The following is an 18,689-nucleotide window of genomic DNA, read 5'->3' on the forward strand; positions in this document are numbered from 1 at the left end:
GTGAGCAGGTGGGCGGGGCCCGGGGGTCGCTGCAGTGTTAGTGCTCTCCGTGGAGGCGTGAGCAGGTGGGCGGGGCCCGGGGGTCGCTGCAGTGTTAGTGCTCTCCGTGGAGGCGTGAGCAGGTGGGCGGGGCCCGGGGGTCGCTGCAGTGTTAGTGCTCTCCGTGGAGGCGTGAGCAGGTGGGCGGGGCCCCGGGGGTCGCTGCAGTGTTAGTGCTCGCCGTGGAGGCGTGAGCAGGTGGGCGGGGCCCCGGGGTCGCTGCAGTGTTAGTGCTCGCCGTGGAGGCGTGAGCAGGTGGGCGGGGCCCGGGGTCGCTGCAGTGTTAGTGCTCGCCGTGGAGGCGTGAGCAGGTGGGCGGGGCCCGGGGTCGCTGCAGTGTTAGTGCTCGCCGTGGAGGCGTGAGCAGGTGGGCGGGGCCCGGGGGTCGCTGCAGTGTTAGTGCTCGCCGTGGAGGCGTGAGCAGGTGGGCGGGGCCCGGGGGTCGCTGCAGTGTTAGTGCTCGCCGTGGAGGCGTGAGCAGGTGGGCGGGGCCCGGGGGTCGCTGCAGTGTTAGTGCTCGCCGTGGAGGCGTGAGCAGGTGGGCGGGGCCCGGGGGTCGCTGCAGTGTTAGTGCTCGCCGTGGAGGCGTGAGCAGGTGGGCGGGGCCCGGGGGTCGCTGCAGTGTTAGTGCTCGCCGTGGAGGCGTGAGCAGGTGGGCGGGGCCCCGGGGGTCGCTGCAGTGTTAGTGTTCGCCGTGGAGGCGTGAGCAGGTGGGCGGGGCCCGGGGGTCGCTGCAGTGTTAGTGCTCGCCGTGGAGGCGTGAGCAGGTGGGCGGGGCCCGGGGTCGCTGCAGTGTTAGTGTTCGCCGTGGAGGCGTGAGCAGGTGGGCGGGGCCCGGGGGTCGCTGCAGTGTTAGTGCTCGCCGTGGAGGCGTGAGCAGGTGGGCGGGGCCCCGGGGTCGCTGCAGTGTTAGTGCTCGCCGTGGAGGCGTGAGCAGGTGGGCGGGGCCCCGGGGTCGCTGCAGTGTTAGTGCTCGCCGTGGAGGCGTGAGCAGGTGGGCGGGGCCCGGGGGTCGCTGCAGTGTTAGTGCTCGCCGTGGAGGCGTGAGCAGGTGGGCGGGGCCCCGGGGTCGCTGCAGTGTTAGTGCTCGCCGTGGAGGCGTGAGCAGGTGGGCGGGGCCCGGGGGTCGCTGCAGTGTTAGTGCTCTCCGTGGAGGCGTGAGCAGGTGGGCGGGGCCCGGGGGTCGCTGCAGTGTTAGTGCTCGCCGTGGAGGCGTGAGCAGGTGGGCGGGGCCCCGGGGGTCGCTGCAGTGTTAGTGTTCGCCGTGGAGGCGTGAGCAGGTGGGCGGGGCCCGGGGGTCGCTGCAGTGTTAGTGCTCGCCGTGGAGGCGTGAGCAGGTGGGCGGGGCCCGGGGTCGCTGCAGTGTTAGTGTTCGCCGTGGAGGCGTGAGCAGGTGGGCGGGGCCCGGGGGTCGCTGCAGTGTTAGTGCTCGCCGTGGAGGCGTGAGCAGGTGGGCGGGGCCCCGGGGTCGCTGCAGTGTTAGTGCTCGCCGTGGAGGCGTGAGCAGGTGGGCGGGGCCCCGGGCCTCCGGGACACTCCTGTATTAGTGCTCCTGTAATAGTGCAGTCCTGGGAGCACCGAGGGAGGGCTCACACCAGAAACCTTCCCTGGGGATGAAGGGAAGCAGTGACAGCCAGCACCCAAGGGCTGCTGTTTTCTTCCTCCCGACTTCTTCCTTTTTCTTTTTTTTTTTAATTACCAGAGGAACACGTGCTTAGGGTAAAGCATGGCAGATATAAAACATGGCAGGTCAGTGGCCGGCTCTGGCCTCAGCCCCATGGCCCACGTTTTGTGCCTTTTCCTCCGGGCGCGTCTCTGTGCTCCGTGAATGTTACGTGAAAGAAAGTAAAGCCTGGCAGTGTGTTGAAAGGAAAGTGAGAGTGAACGTCGAGGGCCTCTTCGTGTGTCATTTACTGTATTACCAGATGAAGACAGAAAAACTACACGGTCACAGAGATGCAGTAAAAGAATTTGATGAAATTCCATACCCACGTCTAGAGAACTTTTTTTTTTTTTTGAGATGGAGTTTTGCTCTTGTCTGCCAGGCTGGAATGCGGTGGCACCATCCCGGCTCACTGCAGCCTCTGCCTCCTGGGTTCAAGCGATTCTCCTGCCTCAGCCTCCCGAGTAGCTGGGACTACAGGCACCTGCCGCTCCGTCTGGTTAACTTTTGTATTTTTAGTAGTGACAGGGTTTCACCACGTTGGCCAGGCTGGTCTCGAACTTCTGGCCCGCCTCAGCCTCCCAAAGTGCTGGGGTTACAGGCATGAGCCACCGCGCCCAGCCAAGTAACGGAACCTTAATTTTTTAGTTTACATTTACACGTTGTTTAAAACGTTCAGTGAGCATTACAGAAATAGACACGTGTGTCCAACGTGGGATGTGATGGCGTTGCCTTGTGGGTCAGTAGAGAAGAGCGGCCAGTTCAGAGAAGGGGTCCGGAGGGGCAGGAAGCGAGGAAATCACCTTCTTCTTTCATGACCCCGGTTTCACTGCCATGCCTGGTTTCCGATGTTGACGTACCTGGTGCTTCCTCTGTTGGTGGCTTGGCGGCTCTCCTGGAACCACGCTGTTTTTCTGTCTCTGGTGTTGGTCTCGTCTGCGCGGAGGCCCCTGGGTCTTTCCTGGTTGGCCTTTGTTAGGTACTTGTCCTTACAGCAGTTCCCCAGTGGTGAGGAACCCCCTGGGATCTCGTGGAAATTCAGTTTTGGGGTCTGCTGGGTGGGCTGGTGTTCCAGAGGGGTGCAGGCTGCTGCTCCCCTTTACTCTGGTGTGGTTTTCCATGGATCGATGTAAAGCTGTGTGTGATGTCCTCCTCCAGTTTAATCTCTGTTTTGCAGTTTTAAATTTATATCAGTGTTTACTTTTACTAATATTTACCTTTTCTTTTGATCCTTGACGTGCTAAAGATTTATTTGTTGCTTTCAAAAGGGCCAATTTTTTTAAATTGATCAAATATTGAATTTTGTTTTTTTCTTTTTTGAGATGAAGTTTTGCTCTTGTTGCCCAGGCTGGAGTGCAATGGCACGATCTCGGCTCACTGCAACCTCTGCCTCCCATGTTCAAGCGATTATCCTGCCTCAGCCTCCCAAGTAGCTGGGATTACAGGCATGCGCCACCACGCCTGGCTAATTTTGAATTTTTAGTAGAGATGGGGTTTCTCCATGTTGGTCAGGCTGATCTTGAACTCTTGACCTCGGGTGATCCACCCACCTCAGCCTCCCAAAGTTCTAGAATTACAGGCATGAGCCACCATGCCCTGCTGAATTTTCTTTCCTTTTTTTTTTTTTTTTTTTTTTTTGAGACAGTCTCACTTTGTCGCCAGGCTGGAGTGTGGAGTGCAGTGGCACAATCTTGGCTCACTGCAACCTCTGCCTCCTGGGTTCAAGCGATTCTCCTGCTTCAGCCTCCTAAGTAGCTGGGATTACAGGCACACCCCACCACACCCGGCTAATTTTTATATTTTTAGTAGAAATGGGGTTTCACCATGTTGGCCAGGCTGGTCTTGAACTCCTGACCTCGTGATCCACCTGCCTCGGCTTCCCAAAGTGTGAGTCACTGCACCCAGCCTTGCTGAATTTTCTTAAAACTTTTTTTTTTCTGACATCTTGAGTTAAAAGTCTTTTGTTATTCTTTGAGACGGGATCTGGCTCTCTCACCCAACCTGGAGTGCAATGGTGCAATCACAGCTCCCTGTACCCTCTGCCTCCTGGGCTCCTGCCCAAGCCTCCAGAGTAGCAGACACTGTTGGCAGATCACACCAGTTAACTTTTTTAATTTTTTGTAGAGATGGATGGAGTCTTGCTGTGTTGCCTAGGCCGGTCTGAACTCCTGGGCTGAAGCAGTCCACCTGCCTCAGTCTCCCAAAGTGCCAGGATTCCAGGCGTGAGCCCACGTGCCCGCCAAGTCTTTGTAAGCGCATTTCCGGCTGTGTTTCCTGTGTGCTCCTGGCTGCTCCCTGCGGACTTTGATGAATAATATTTTCACTGGCATTCATTTCTAAAGAAGCTGTAATTTCATCAGAGTTCCTTTTTAATCGAGAAGTTTGTTCTGAAACATTTGAGTAACGTGGCCTTTTTGGGTTCCATCCACTCCTCTTTCTAGTCTCCTTCCCGGGCGGTCAGGGAGTGTTGTCTACACGGATCTCTGCCTTGGGGGATTGAGATCTTCTTGCTTGTTCACTTGGGTGCAGATTTTCCAGGGGTCCTGGGGTGATTTTCCTTTGGCTGAGTTTGCTGGTTGGTGTGGTGGGTAAACAAGCGGACCCCGGGGGCCAGTTGCCCACGTCCTGCTCTGCCTTTAGCCAGGGTGTGGCCCTTCACAAGTGACCTACCTCTGCCTCAGTTTCTCTGTCTGTGGCGTGAGGTGGTGGTGAGATTGCCTCGAGGTTTTTATGAAGATTAAATGATTTCCTATTTGTGAGGCACTTTGAGGTGTTAAGTTGAATGAATGAGAAACAAGCAGGCAGCCTGGGAGATTGTGAACTCCGACATCCAAGTCCGGTCGTTTTTCTTGTGGATTCTTGTTTTCTCCGTGTCTCTGTAACCTCGCGGTGTTGCTTAGGAGCCGTGCTGCTGGCTATGCAGGCTGATGGTTCTTACGTAGTTTTGATGACTTGCACCTTTTGCCAGTGTGGATTCTTTTTTTTTCTTTTTTCCTGTTCAGTGTGTTTTCGCTCTAACCCCCGATTCTCTTGTACTAACATCGCTACAGTTGCTGTTGGTCTCTGCTTCCACCCTCCCTGTCATTTGTTTCAGCTGTGTTACGGAGGCCTTTGCTTTGCTTTTTTGCACACATCTCAGGTTCTCTTTGATAGGAGAGTTTAACCCGTTGTCTTTGTTGTGAGAATACATTTTTTCCCCTCTCCATGAGGGCTTGGATCCGGTTTTGGTGTCTTCTTTCTCTGCTCTAATGGTTTGGGAATTTTGCATTCTCTTTCTGTTCTTCTTGTGGCTGCCCTTAAACTTGGATTCCGTGTCCGTTTGTGGGATTATCCGCGTCTATAACTTCGTGATGAGTTCCTGATCTCCGTCTTCCAAAACTTGGGAAGTCATCCGAGGGTTTGTTCCAGATTGTTTTGGGTAATTTTAAAATTTTATTTCACACTAATTTTATTCTAGGAATCGCTTCTTCATCTTACTGAAGTTTTGATGCGACGTTATAGTTATTTAGGCTTAACGGGAGGTTGCATGGGTTTTGTGGCCGTTTCTGGTGTCTTCCTGGTGTGTTTGGATTTGTGCTTCGCCACGTCCGCACGTCACTTCTGAGCCCAGTGCGGTGGCCCCTGAGCTCCTGCCGGTCACGGGCTGTGTGTTGTCCCCCTCACACCAGAGACAGTCGTTTCTTCTCTTAACTCTTAAGCCCTCCTCAGTCACTCGGATGAACTGATTAAATTCTGTGCTTTTAATACTAAGCATTAAAAAAAAAAAAACATATGAGGGAAGCACCTGCCACCCAGGCCCATGTTTCTGCTCTCAGCCTTGTGCCCTCCCCCGGTGGCCCCTCCAAAGGGCATGAAGCTGTGGATGCTGTGCCTGTGCCTGGAGGCTCTGGCCCTCCCACCCCTGGCTGGGCTCCAGCTCTAGGTTTGTTCAGCAGCCAACTCAGAGCAGCCGAGGCTCAGGGTGGCATCAGCCGGCCGCGCTGGCTTCACAGCCGACCTCTTCTCCATCATCTGACGGGCGCAGGCCCCCTCGCTGCCACCCCCACTGGTGGGCACTCAGCCTCAAGGCACAGGCCTCCTGGGACTGGTGGCTCCTCTGAATCTTCCTGAGAGAGGCAAGTTTAGTCATCGCTGAGCAACGCAAAAGCGTGTCGGGTTTATTTACTCACAACGATGTCTTCTAAACCAAAAATACTTGACGGGGCCTTTCTTTCTGTTTTCCGAGGGAGGGGATGGGGATCCTCCTGGAAGATGGTGCCCCCTGCACAGGTGAATGGCGTTTCCCACACTTGACCTTGGGAGTTTGGAAACTGGCGAAGCCGCCTCTTCCACTGCCCTTGCTGTTCCCTCCTGAGGTCCCTGGTCGTTCTTTCTCCTCTCAGTTCTGCCTCCCGCAGTCCCTGCATCTGCCACCTTCTCTGTGTGACCCCATTCCTTTCACAGCCAGAAGCCTCTTGGTTAGCCTCAGGTGACTCATTTGCTTCACAGCTGTTTTTTGCTCTCATCTTTTTTTAAGTATAAGCCATCGGTCTGTTTAATTCCAGAACTCTCCTTTCTGGAGCCTGACTTCTTTGGGAGCAGCCGGCGGGTTTCATGGATGCACGGCCACAGCTGTTCCGCTCTTTTCCCCCAGCTGCTGCTTCCAGAGCCTGGCTTTGCGTGGGCATCCTGAGGCCTCCGGGGACCGGGCGGGCAAGGGTGGGGTTTGTGGATAAGGAGTGAGGTGGGGGACGGGCCTGCTGCCCTGAGCTGGGGTCCTGAGTGTCCGCTGGGACTCGGGGGTGGGGGGCCATGCAGTCTTGGGGATACAGGGGCTCTACATGGACTTCGACCCCTGTGTGTGCAGCCTCCTCCGGTTCCAGGCCCCCGGGGTCTTCCCACCAGACTGAGGCTGGGCAGACGGGAGGGGCCTGCGCGTGGCTGTGACCCCGCCAGGGCAACCCCAGAGATTCCCGCCGCCTTCAGGCCCCTGTCAGATCCAAACACTCGGCCTCCGCCCATCTTCGTTTTCAGAGCCTCGGGATTGCCAGTGCCCTCCTGGTGCCCGTCTGTCCAGGGCTCTTCTGAACACGTCCCTGATGAAACTCTTCTCTCACTTCAGTAGGCTTTGTCCTCTGTCGAACCACAAAGGTTTGTGTTTGAGATTAGCTCCATTACCTGGATAGTGGGAGACAGATCCCGGCCCTCACTGGAGGCCCCTCTGGGTGCTGATGGCTCACACACCTGAGCTGCCAGGTGGCCCAGGAGAGGGCATGGGCACCTTCTCTCCCAGAGCTGACAAGCCCCGGAGCAAATGGCAAGGAAGTTAGAACAGAACTTTAGAGCTTTTTTATTTTTCTGAGACAGGATCTTACTTTCTTGCCTAGGCTGGAGTATAGTGGTGCAATCTCAGCTCCCTGCAGCCTCGACCTCTTGGGCTCAAGTGCTTCTCCCAACTCAGCCTCCCGAGTAGGGACCACAGGTGTGAGCCACTGTACCTGGCCTAGAACTTAATGTTTAAGAAGACTCTTGGCCGGGTGCGGTGGCTCACGCCCGTAATCCCAGCATATTGGGAGGCCGAGGCAGGCGGATCACAAGGTCAGGAGATCAAGACCATCCTGGCTAGCACAGTGAAACCCCATCTCTACTAAAAATACAAAAAATTAGCTGGGCGTGGTCGTGGGCACCTGTACTCGGAGGCTGAGGCAGGATAATGGCGTAAACCCGGGAGGCAGAGCTTGCAGTGAGCCGAGATCACGCCACTGCACTCCAGCCTGGGCGACAGAGCGAGAGTCCGGTCTCAAAAAAAAAAAAAAGAAGACTGGACCAGGCACGGTGGCTCACGCCTGTAATCCCAGTACTTTGGGAGGCTGAGGCGGGCAGATTGCCTAAGCTCAGGAGTGCGAGACCAGCCTGGGCAACAAGGTGAAACCCCGTCTCTACTAAAATACAAAAAATTAGCCGGGCATGGTGGTGGGTGCCTGTAATCCCAGCTACTCGGAGGCTGAGGCATGAGAATCGCTTGAACTTGCAGTGAGCTGAGATCGAGGCACTGCACTCCAGCCTGGGTAACAAGAGCGAGACTCTGACCTTCTACGAACCCTACATTCAGCTTCCCTTGGAGCGAGCAGCTGCCCAGTGGACTTCAGGGGCGTTCTGGGTCCTGGCAGGAGTCGCCTCCGTCTTTGGTGGTCCTGGCACCCACAGACCCAGTGGGACTGCAGGGCTGGTGTGGTCTCTGCTCATCTTCGCTCGTGCAGAGTTAGGAAACCCTTACCGGGCCTGTTGACTTGGTGGGTGTGATGTCCCAGCACCAGAAACAGGGGAAATGGCTCCTATACCCTGAGCAGGCTGGGGGTTCTGGTGTGGGGTCCCTGCCGCCCTCCAGAGGCTCCAATGGCTCTTGTGTCTGGAGCTGGAAATGTGGTTTGTTTTCACTCCTCCGAGTTGTGCCTCCCTGGCCCACTGGCTCCTGTCCGCACCCTCGGGCACGCGCTGTGCTCTTGGGACTTCACACCCGAGAGCCGGTCACCTGCTCCTGCTGCACGCCTGCTGGAAGTGGGCTCTGCCTGCAAGGGCCTCGCAGCCGGCGTGGTGAGGGTTGGCTGGTGGGGAGCGGAGAGCCCACCCATCCAGGCCAGAGCCCCTGGAGGTAGAAGGGGCGGAGGGTAGAAAGAGCCTCTCCTGGACTGTAGAGGTGAGGCAGGAGGTAGTGAGCTGGGACCTGGTGCCAGGCTGCCCCACGTGCCGTGGGTGGTGAGTCCGGGGCAGAGTGAACGGGTAAGGCTGGAGGTGAGGTTGGGGACCTTGGGGGCCTGTGGCGAGAACTTGCTGTTCACCCAGAGGAGGGAGATGAGGCAGTTGGGATGTGAGATCGGGGTGTGCTGTGGGATGCAGCCTGGCGTGGCTTTATCCCCAGAGGGTTGCCACTTAGCGCAGCTGCTCTGCAGTGAGCTGCCTGCACGGCCAGGGTGGCCATGCGGAGACCAGGCAGGCGTCTGAGCCAGAGGCCCAGGCAGGTGGCGGTGCGGGTGCAGCACTGGGTTTGGGGCATATTTAAAAGGGAGGGAGCCTGCAGGATTCGCTGGTGATCCAGATGCAGATGGCAGATCTTGGGCTCTTTTTCACTTCCAGGTGGACAAGGAGCTCAGTGTTCCCAGGCAGGCCGATGTGTAGCCATAGACAGCGACAGGTCTTTCTGCAGTGCCCTCTTTACAATCAGAGTTGCATTTCGAGGTGTGTAACGTACCCGCTTGATGGTGACTGCTGTGTGCACACAGGCCCGCGTGGTGTCGCAGAGCACACGGCGTTGTGTGCGTGGCACGTGTTGTTACGCTGTGACTTTTTTACACTTAATTTCCCATCTAATACTGGAGACTTTTAGGTGGTGACCAGCCCATCACTCTTCTAAGACATTGCACTTGTCCCCCTGGGCAGGTGTGTTCCACGGTATCTGTGTTATTTCTGATTCCAGTCTCCTGTGTGTGGGGTGTCCAGCGACTCATCGCACGTCTCTGGGCTCCTCTGCGTGTGAGTTGCTTACTTGTTCTTTGCCCATCTCTGTCCTGGGAAGACTGACTTTTCCTTATGTGAGCTGCAGGGCTACCTCCTCCCTCGCCGCCCCACGCTCACTGCAGGGATCGTCTTTCCTTCTGCGGCTGTCGGCTTTCTTCGACCTATCATCATCCACAGTTTTAAAATTTGACATAATTAAATGTATCGGTATTTTCTTCTGAATCTTAAAAATGTTTCCCCATTCTAAGGTCATAAATACATTCTCTTACATTGTCTTGTAAAATATTTTAAAGGTTTGCTTTTTAGTTGGGTTGTAAGCCCCTGCAGTTGACCTTGTGTGTAGAATGGACAAGGTGGAGTTCAACTTTGCCAAGTTTCCACACTCTCAGGTCCCCCTGGGCTCTCTGCTCTGTTCCGCTGGTCTCTTGTCTCCCATTGTGCCAAAACAACAAGGAACTTACTGAATTGCAATGATTTATTTTACCATTAAGTTGTGGTCTTCTGGGAGAGTACATACCCCTCCTCATTTTTCTTCTTCAGAATTGTCCTTTTTTTTTTTTTTTTTTTTTTTTTTTTGGAGATGGAGTTTCCCTCTTGCCCAGGCTGGAGTGCAAGGCCTGATCTTGGCTCACCGCAACCTCCACCTCCCGGGTTCAAGCGATTCTTCTGTCTCAGCCTTACAGAGTAGCTGGGATTATAGGCACATGCCACCATACCCAGCTAATTTTTTGTATTTTTAGTAGAGACGGGGTTTCTCCATGTTGATCAGGCTGGTCTTGAACTCTTAACCTCAGGTGATTCACCCGCCTCAGCCTCCCAAAATGCTGGGATTACAGACGTGAGCCACCGCCGCACTTGGCTTTTTTTTTTTTGAGATGTAGTCTTATACTCTGTCGCCCAGGCTGGAGTGTGGGGGTGCAATCTCGGCTCACTGCAACCTCTACCTCCCTGGTTGAAGTGAGTCTCCCACCTCCGCCTCCTGAGTAGCTGGGATTACAGGCACGCACCACCATGCCCAGCTAATTTTTGTATTTTTATTACAGACGGGGTTTCACTATGTTGGCCCGTCTGGCCTCGAACTCCTGACCTCAAATGATCCACCCGCCTCAGCCTCCCAAAGTGCTGGGATTACAGGTGTAAGCCACTGCACCCGGCTCTTTTCTAAACTCTAGAGTTGAACATTCCTTTAGTTTCCAGCTTCATAATTTGGTTCTTATTAAAATAATTCTAGAATTTTCATGTTTTTTTTAACCAGCTTTCTAAATTGTGTTACATGCACATAAAATATGCCATTTTAACCATTTTCAGGTGTGTGGTTCAGTGGCCTTGGGTACAGACCCAGTGTTACACAGCCACCACCACCACCATCATCTCCAGAGCCTTTTTATCTTCCCAAACTGAAGCTCTGCCCCCATTAAACACTCACTCCCCACCCCGCTCCCCCAGCAGGGTTAGATCGCAGAGGGGCCTGCCGGGGGCTCTGAGGTGATGGAAACCATCTGAGACTGCCATGGCGATGATCGAGAAAGTCTGTGAATTTACGGAAAATTATTGCATTATATACATAAAAGAGGTGTGTGTAAACTGTGCCATAATAAAGCCTAAAAATTAGAAGCATGCTTGTAACTTAGTGTATTTAAATAGGTAATTCGTTCAGTCCTGAGGTTAGTATTATTGAAAAGGTTTAATTTTGTTCTCATCTCTGCCGCTGTCTGTAGTGACCTATAGAGAACCACTGTGATCACCTCCTGTATGTATGCAAATCTGAGCAAACGTAAACATATTTTCTTCTTGTTTTCCTTCCACAATCCCCCCCACTCCCACCCCCGCCCATGTGTGTCTGCGTTTTCCCGCAGGTGCATGCAGGCCCGCGTTCATCTGTGCAGCCCTTCCTGCTGCCCTGCGGGCCCCATGCACTGCAGACCCCGCTGCCTCAGACCTGTGCCTGCGTGGCTGGCACACCTGTTCCCTGAGTCGGAGACGGCGGCTGCCTGTTGAGGGCAGGGTGCGTCCGCTGCTTATAGAGACGTGAAGCCCACCATGGCCATTCTGTTGGCGTGCGTTTGTCACCAGCTGTGTTCCCGTATAGAAACGTTTCTCGTCTTTGGGGGGCTTCTTCCTCATTAAGCTCTATTTCTTAAAGTCCCATGACATACTAATCTAGCTATGCCAGCTTTCTGTTGGTGAATACTTGTGTGATATTTCTGTTCTTAAAATGTCTTAAATGTGACACTGTTTACAACGTAGAGCTAGGTTTTTTAAAAAAATCAAACTTTTTTAGCTGGCACGTTACCTTACACATTCCACGATTTTCCATGGAGGATGTGAGTTGGTTCCTGCTTTATTTTTTTATTTTGCTCTTTTCGTCAGTTTTTTCCTAATGCTTCCTTCCTCCCTGTTGTCTAGTGAATTAGTAACTTTCTTTAATCTCTTTCTTTCTTCCTCTGGTTTGCAAGGTATAAGCTCTACTTCTGTTATACTAGTGGTTACAAAATGTATAAACTATTTACATTTTTAGAAATCCAAAGTTGGCCCGGCGCGGTGGCTCACGCCTGTAATCCTAGCACTTTGGGAAGCCGAGGTGGGCAGATCACGAGGTCAGGAGATCAAGACCATTCTGGCCAACTTGGTGAAACCCCGTCTCTACTAAAATACAAAAAAATTAGCCGGGCATGATGGTGCGCGCCTGTAGTCCCAGCTACTCGGGAGGCTGAGGCAGCGGAATCGCTTGAACCCAGGAGGCGGAGGTTGCAGTGAGCCGAGATCGTGCCACGGCATCCAGCCTGGCTACAGAGGGAGACTCTGTCTCAAAAAAAAAAAAAAAAAAAAAAAAAAAGTCCAAAGTCACTGTAAGTCTGTGCCCCTCCCTGCACAAGCACCCCCACCGCGGCTCTCACCGGGCACCCCCTTTCTCCCTGCTTCTCACTTCTTCCGCCAAACTCCAGGTCTTTCTCCCCGCGCGGCCCCTCTCCCGAGTTCTTCTCGCTCCGGACTCCAGGTCTTTCTCCCCTCGAGGCCCCTCTCCGGAGTTCTTCTCCTTCCGGACTCCGGGTCTTTCTCCCCGCGCGGCCCCTCTCCCGAGTTCTTCTCCTTCCGGACTCCGGGTCTTTCTTCCCGTGCGGCCCCTCTCCCGAGCTCTTCTCGCTCCGGACTCTGGGTCTTTCTCCCCACGCGGCCCCTCTCCCGAGTTCTCCCTCCAGACTCCGGGTCTTTCCCCGCACGGCCCCTCCCCCGAGTTCTTCTCCATCCCGACTCCAGTTCTTTCTCCCCGCGCGGCCCCTCTCCCGAGTTCTTCTCCTTCCGGACTCCAGGTCTTTCTCCCCGCGCGGCCCCTCTCCCGAGTTCTTCTCCTTCCGGACTCCGGGTCTTTCTCCCCTCGCGGCCCCTCTCCCGAGCTCTTCTTGCTCCGGACTCCGGGTCTTTCTCCCCGCGCGGCCCCTCTCCCGAGCTCTTCTTGCTCCGGACTCCGGGTCTTTCTCCCCGCGCGGCCCCTCTCCCGAGTTCTTCTCCTTCCGGACTCCGGGTCTTTCTCCCCGCGCGGCCCCTCTCCCGAGTTGTTCTCCTTCCGGACTCCGGGTCTTTCTCCCCGCGCGGCCCCTCTCCCGAGCTCTTCTCGCTCCGGACTCCGGGTCTTTCTCCCCGCGCGGCCCCTCTCCCGAGTTGTTCTCCTTCCGGACTCCGGGTCTTTCTCCCCGCGCGGCCCCTCTCCCGAGTTGTTCTCCTTCCGGACTCCGGGTCTTTCTCCCCGCGCGGCCCCTCTCCCGAGTTCTTCTCCTTCCGGACTCCGGGTCTTTCTCCCCGCGCGGCCCCTCTCCCGAGTTCTTCTCCTTCCGGACTCCGGGTCTTTCTCCCCGCGCGGCCCCTCTCCCGAGTTGTTCTCCTTCCGGACTCCGGGTCTTTCTCCCCGCGCGGCCCCTCTCCCGAGCTCTTCTCGCTCCGGACTCCGGGTCTTTCTCCCCGCGCGGCCCCTCTCCCGAGTTGTTCTCCTTCCGGACTCCGGGTCTTTCTCCCCGCGCGGCCCCTCTCCCGAGTTGTTCTCCTTCCGGACTCCGGGTCTTTCTCCCCGCGCGGCCCCTCTCCCGAGTTCTTCTCCTTCCGGACTCCGGGTCTTTCTCCCCGCGCGGCCCCTCTCCCGAGTTCTTCTCCTTCCGGACTCCGGGTCTTTCTCCCCGCGCGGCCCCTCTCCCGAGTTGTTCTCCTTCCGGACTCCGGGTCTTTCTCCCCGCGCGGCCCCTCTCCCGAGTTCTTCTCCTTCCGGACTCCGGGTCTTTCTCCCCGCGCGGCCCCTCTCCCGAGTTCTTCTCCTTCCGGACTCCGGGTCTTTCTCCCCGCGCGGCCCCTCTCCCGAGTTCTTCTCCTTCCGGACTCTGGGTCTTTCTCCCCGCGCGGCCCCTCTCCCGAGTTCTTCTCCTTCCGGACTCCGGGTCTTTCTCCCCGCGCGGCCCCTCTCCCGAGTTGTTCTCCTTCCGGACTCCGGGTCTTTCTCCCCGCGCGGCCCCTCTCCCGAGTTGTTCTCCTTCCGGACTCCGGGTCTTTCTCCCCGCGCGGCCCCTCTCCCGAGTTCTTCTCCTTCCGGACTCCGGGTCTTTCTCCCCACGGCCTCTCTCCCGAGTTCTCTCTCCAGACTCCCGGATCTTCTTCCCGCTCACATTGTCCCTCTCCTGTGATGCTTGCAGGCGGCCTCGCTCCATCCCACCCCGGAGCAAGGATGTCTCTTGCTTTTTGCACAGAATCCACTTATCTCCCCAGTGGCTCTTGCGGGGCCTTTAATGGGCTGTGCTCAGTGACTGCACCGTGTCGGAGTGGGTATTTCTTGTATTTTGGATTCTTTTGCTTCCTGAATCTGAGGACTGCCCTTCACTGTTGTGGGAGATCCTTAGTCACTGTTTCTTAACACTTCCTTTCCTTTCTGTTCTTCCCTTTGGGGCTCCCGTCTTCTCCCCTTTCTCTTAGCCTTCCTTTTATTGTTTGAATTGGTGTGTTTATCTCTACTCCTGATGGGTAACTTCCTCAAGTGAATTTTTTTTTAGGACATTAATCTGTCCTCGGCTGAGAAGAATCTGTGGTTCAGCCATCCACTGAGATGTTAGTTTCCGTGAGTGTTTTTATTTTTAGAAATTGTATCTGATTACCTTCAATACTTGCCCGTCTGTACCCCTGGTGTCCTCCCTTTTGTATCTTTTGTAATTTTAGACATACATGTTTCAGTTAACCCCCTGTCCATTCTTCCACTGCATTTTTAGGCCCTAACTGTGCCGTTTGTTGCGGCTCCACCTGTAGAAGCGTTTGCCGTGAGCGTCGCCCTTCCTTGTCAGGCACATCTTGGGGGCCAAGCCGGCCGGGCCCTTGGGTGAAGCCTCGTCCTGGGCAGATTCCTTTTCGCACCGGGCAGGGAGCCCGTGGCTGCTGGGACTCCACAGTCCCCTTAACAGTCACTTTTTATCCTGCGGCCAAACTGCTGGTCACCTGGAAGGCAGCTGTGACCTTCCGCCTGTGGCCCTGCTCAAGGCTTCTCCCTACTGTCTTCCTGCAGTCGCTGCTGTCTCCCCGAGTGCATTCGCAGACACGGGGCCGCCCACTCCCCTTTGCGCCATGTTTGTCCGGACAGGCTTAGCTGGAGACCAAGAACCCAGTGCCTGCGATGGATAAGTAACTGTGGGATTAACTCTCAACTATTATGTTAATAACACAGAATTAACAGGGTGAGGTTATAGTTCACAAAATGGCAAGCAGACGATAAACAGGTTTTCAGATAAGGTATGTAAGATTCTTTTTCTGCAGTGTTGAAGTCAAAGCAGATGTCTGATCTCAAAAAGGTCAGCAGTCCTAGATTGAGGAATTAGTGAAATATGTCTAAGGAAGCCTCCAGAACCGTCCGGGGGAACCCTCCTGCTGCGCTCTCACCAGCGTCCTTTCCCGCAGGTGAGCATCTGCCTGGAGTGTAACAGCAGCAAACTGCGCGGGCTGAAGCGGAAGTGGATCCGCTGCTCAGCCCAGGCGACCGTCTTGCATCTGAAGAAGTTCATCGCCAAAAAACTCAACCTTTCATCCTTTAACGAGGTAACAGTTGATCCCTAAGTAGAAACCATAACAAGTCCTCTCTTATTTCTAAAGGTAACTCCAAGATTCTTTGCTTAGTTTTGTTTTGTTTTTAACAATTTTGGAGATTTTAACCAGAAAAAAATCCGTTTTGCCTGCTTCACCGGGGAGCGGGATAGGAGACAGCCCTAAGGGTTGTAGGATGCCCAGAGACAGGGAACGTGGAATGCTACTGTGAGTGGAAGAGAGAACTAGGGCGGGGATGATGAGACTGTTTTAAAATAGGATAAAGGTTTTCCTCAAAACGAGAAATTCTGTGCTTTAATTTCACAAGGGGAGACATGGGCGGATGCAGAGAGGGAGGACCCTTCCAGGCTGTGGTGTGTAAGGAGACGAAGGAGTGCTGGCATGAGGCGGCCTTGGCAGCGGGCGCACCATGAACATGCCAGTGTGGGTCCCTGTGAGCCCCCAAGGCAGTGACACCATGGGGATGCAGGCGCCAGCAGGGTCCAGCTTTGCATGGAGACAGAAGGCGCTGGCGGCTGTGGGCAGGAGCATGGGTCTGGTGTCGTTTTTGAAAATCGCTCAGGCTGTGCAGAAATGGACGCAGGAGAGGCCAGCGCCAGGAGTTGCAGGAGAGGCGGACTGTGGTGGGGGCGGTCAGGGTGGAGAAGTGGACAGACTTGAGATGCTGTCTGTAGCAGCAGTGGACTCAGTGGTGGCCCCAGAAGATAAGCCACATCCTAACCCCCAGAGCCTGCAAATGGGATCTTGTTTGGAAAAGGATCTTTGTAGATATAATTAAATAAAGGATTTTGGGATGAAATAATTCTGGAATATCTGGGTGGAGCCTAAATCCCATGACACAAGTGAGGCGGAGGAAGACTCGAGACAGGAGGCCCTGGTGAGGACAGAGCAGAGGACGGACTGGAGGCTGGAGGGAGGCAGCCTCGAGGCAAGCCAGGGAGCCCCTGGGCCACCAGCAGCTGGAAGCCAGGGCAGGCTCCCCGGCTGTGGTCCGAAAGCATCCCCCAGATTCATGTTGGAAATTCCATCCCCAGCAGGGCAGTGCTGGGAGTTAGGGCCTGGGGGAGGCGCTCAGGCCGAGGGCCCTGCCCCATGCACGGATTGATGCTGCTGTGAAAGGACTGGCCAGCATGTGTTCTCACTTCTGATCTTCCCCAACATGAGGATGCAGCAGAAGGCCTTCACAGGTGGCAACGTGGTGACCTTGAATGTCCCAGCTCCCAGAACTGTGCCGAAATCAATTTGTTCTTCATAAATCACCCAGTGTGTGGTGTTCTGTGGCAGCAGCACGGAATGGACTGTGCTTCTCCCCTGGAGCCTGCAGAGGGAGTGTGGCTGTTATGGACTCTGGAACTGAGTACATTTCTATTGTTTGAAGACACCACCTCGTGATAATTTCCACGGCAGCCGCAGGAGACTAATTCAGAGAAAGCCACAATAAGTTGCTGATGTATTTGGGTGGTGATGCAGAGAAAAGGAAGGGGTCAGGAATGACTGCAGGCCTGGGGCTGCTCGGTTTGGGGTGGGGGGTGGTGTCTCGGGACAGGCTGGCGTAGCTGCTGTGGTGGCACAGAGCAGAGGCTGTCAGGTCATGGGGGGCCAATGCCAGCCTTGAGTGTCCCACAGGTTGGCCGGGGATACGGACAGCACACCGGGGTTGGGGAGACTCACTGAGCACGGGCTGCCTGGAGATCATGGAGAAACCAAGTCAGGACACGGGGGGAAGGGAGAGAAGGAAATGGGGCAACGCTTTTTGCTAAGTTTCTATCGTTTTGTTTGCTTTTCTGTGTAGCGAAACAGAAAAGATGGATGGTAGCTGGGGACAGAGCAGGCCGAGGAAGTCCTTGGATTTTCATGTGGAGGTGTAGCGGGAAGCTGCCGGACAGTGGGGCTGCAGGGGGTGGGGAAGAGGTTGGCCATTTCCCAGCGCAGGGCTGGTTCCTCCAGGGAAGAGTGTGAGGTTTGCGCTGCTGCTGCGTTAACCGTGCCTCTGAGCCCCCAACCCAGCCACTCAGGCAGGTGGGGCTGCTTCAATTCATGCCTTCCCCAGGGAGGAATCTGAAGAACTGTCTACATGATCAGGGAAACGCAAGGAAAACTGCGTGGCACCACGCGTACCCCATAGAAGGGCCAGAATCCCAAGCACTGACAACACATTCGGGAAACGCCGGGAGCGCAGGTTCATTCCTGTGGGAAGTGGAACCCGCAGGCCCTGTGGAGAACAGCTTGGCAGCTGCTGACAACACGAAACACACTCTCGGCAAACCACCCAGCAGCCACACCTCGTCATTTACCCACTGGAAATCTCCTGCCCACACAAAAACCTGCACCCGGATGTTGATAGCATCTTTCTTCATAATTACCAAAACCTGGAAGCGACCAAGATGCCCTTCAGTAGATAAGTGGAAAAATAAACCGTGGTGCATCCATACTGGACTATTATCCAGTACTGAAAAGAAATGAGCAGTCGGGCCAAGAGCAGGCACATGGGAGAAACATCAAGTCCCTGTTACTAAGTAGAGAAGCCCCTCTGAAAAGGCTGTAGGCCGTGCGACTCCAGCTCTGCAGCATGGCGCACTGGAAAAGGCAGAACCATCCGGAGGCTGCAGGGGCTTGAGGAGGGTAGTAGGAGTGGGCGGGCACAGGGCTCCTGGGCGGCGATGCTGCTGTTTGTCCACCTGTGGCTGTGCCACCAGGGCGACCTGACATCCGCTCTGGACTCGGTGGAGGTGATGTCAGTGCAGGTTCCTGGGTGGTGACTAATGTGCCCCCATGCAGGGTGTTGGTGGCAGGGGGGTTCCAAGGGGGACGGGAACTCCCTGTACCTTCCTCTCAATTTTGCTGTAAACCTTAAATTGTTCTTTAAAAAGTCTAATTTTTTTAAAAGACTGGGGAGCCTAGTGCATTTTTGCACTATGGTGAGAGGGAGGGACAGCCTGGACCGGAGGTAGGGCCTGTGGGGAGAGGGTGCCCCTGGAGGCTGCAGCCGTGGGAGGGGGCTGGTGTGGACTGGGCCTGGGTGGGATGGGGAGGGAAACACTTCGGCCCTATGGGCCTCTCAGGCACCTGTGCCACCTGGGGAACCAGGGTGCCCGATTCCGGAGCTGTCAGGGCTGCTCATGGGGCTGCAAACCACCTCTTCCCGTTGCTCAGTACGGCAGGTGTGGTAGACAGGGTGTGATGGGGCCTGTCAAGAGAAAAAGGGTTCAGGGCAGCTGCAGGCCAGATAGGGGCGGGATGGGAGCCCACCACTGCAAGGAGCTTGTGCCTGCGCCTGCACCCCCTGCAGAAACGTCATCCCCCTAACTGGCACGGGCCTGCCCTGTAATATCTTATATGTTGCACTGGATTTCCGTTCAGCTGTGAGGTAGGGACCACACTCCATCTCTAGGCTGTGAGGTAGGGATGGAGGAATACATGAACCAGC

General features: G+C 55.4%; 2 protein-coding genes and 2 long non-coding RNA genes across 15 annotated transcripts in view; 2 read left to right on the forward strand and 2 right to left on the reverse strand.

The window, feature by feature from the left end:
* LOC124900644 (uncharacterized) lies at window positions 1–2,024 on the forward strand. The gene is made up of 2 exons (XR_007057987.1): window positions 1–1,489; window positions 1,547–2,024. It is a non-coding gene; the product is annotated as an uncharacterized LOC124900644 (long non-coding RNA).
* Window positions 1–18,689, forward strand: part of PCGF3 (polycomb group ring finger 3) — a 64,258-nt gene that overhangs the window by 40,329 nt on the left and 5,240 nt on the right. For all 10 annotated transcript variants that reach the window (NM_001395245.1, NM_001317836.3, NM_001395246.1 and 7 more), the window contains one exon: window positions 15,119–15,256. In NM_001395245.1, coding sequence (NP_001382174.1) covers window positions 15,119–15,256 — 138 coding nt within the window. The remainder of the gene's footprint in view (window positions 1–15,118; window positions 15,257–18,689) is intronic.
* LOC124900163 (chloride intracellular channel protein 6-like) overlaps window positions 1,927–18,689 on the reverse strand; it is a 33,762-nt gene continuing 16,999 nt past the window's right edge. The window contains exons 2-3 of one of the 3 annotated variants that reach the window (XM_047416473.1): window positions 18,329–18,449; window positions 1,927–16,679 (exon numbers count right to left, since the gene is read on the reverse strand). In XM_047416473.1, the coding sequence (XP_047272429.1) occupies window positions 12,004–13,887 (1,884 nt within the window). In that variant the 5' untranslated portion in view covers window positions 13,888–16,679; window positions 18,329–18,449 and the 3' untranslated portion in view covers window positions 1,927–12,003. The remainder of the gene's footprint in view (window positions 16,680–18,328; window positions 18,450–18,689) is intronic. The other 2 variants (XM_047416474.1, XM_047416472.1) reach the window with 2 other exon arrangements.
* Window positions 14,283–18,689, reverse strand: part of PCGF3-AS1 (PCGF3 antisense RNA 1) — a 21,407-nt gene continuing 17,000 nt past the window's right edge. The window contains exon 3 of the long non-coding RNA NR_171661.1: window positions 14,283–18,449. This is a non-coding gene — a long non-coding RNA (PCGF3 antisense RNA 1). The remainder of the gene's footprint in view (window positions 18,450–18,689) is intronic.

This window comes from Homo sapiens, chromosome 4 (assembly GCF_000001405.40).
Source record: "Homo sapiens chromosome 4, GRCh38.p14 Primary Assembly".
NCBI classification, from domain to species: domain Eukaryota; kingdom Metazoa; phylum Chordata; class Mammalia; order Primates; family Hominidae; genus Homo; species Homo sapiens.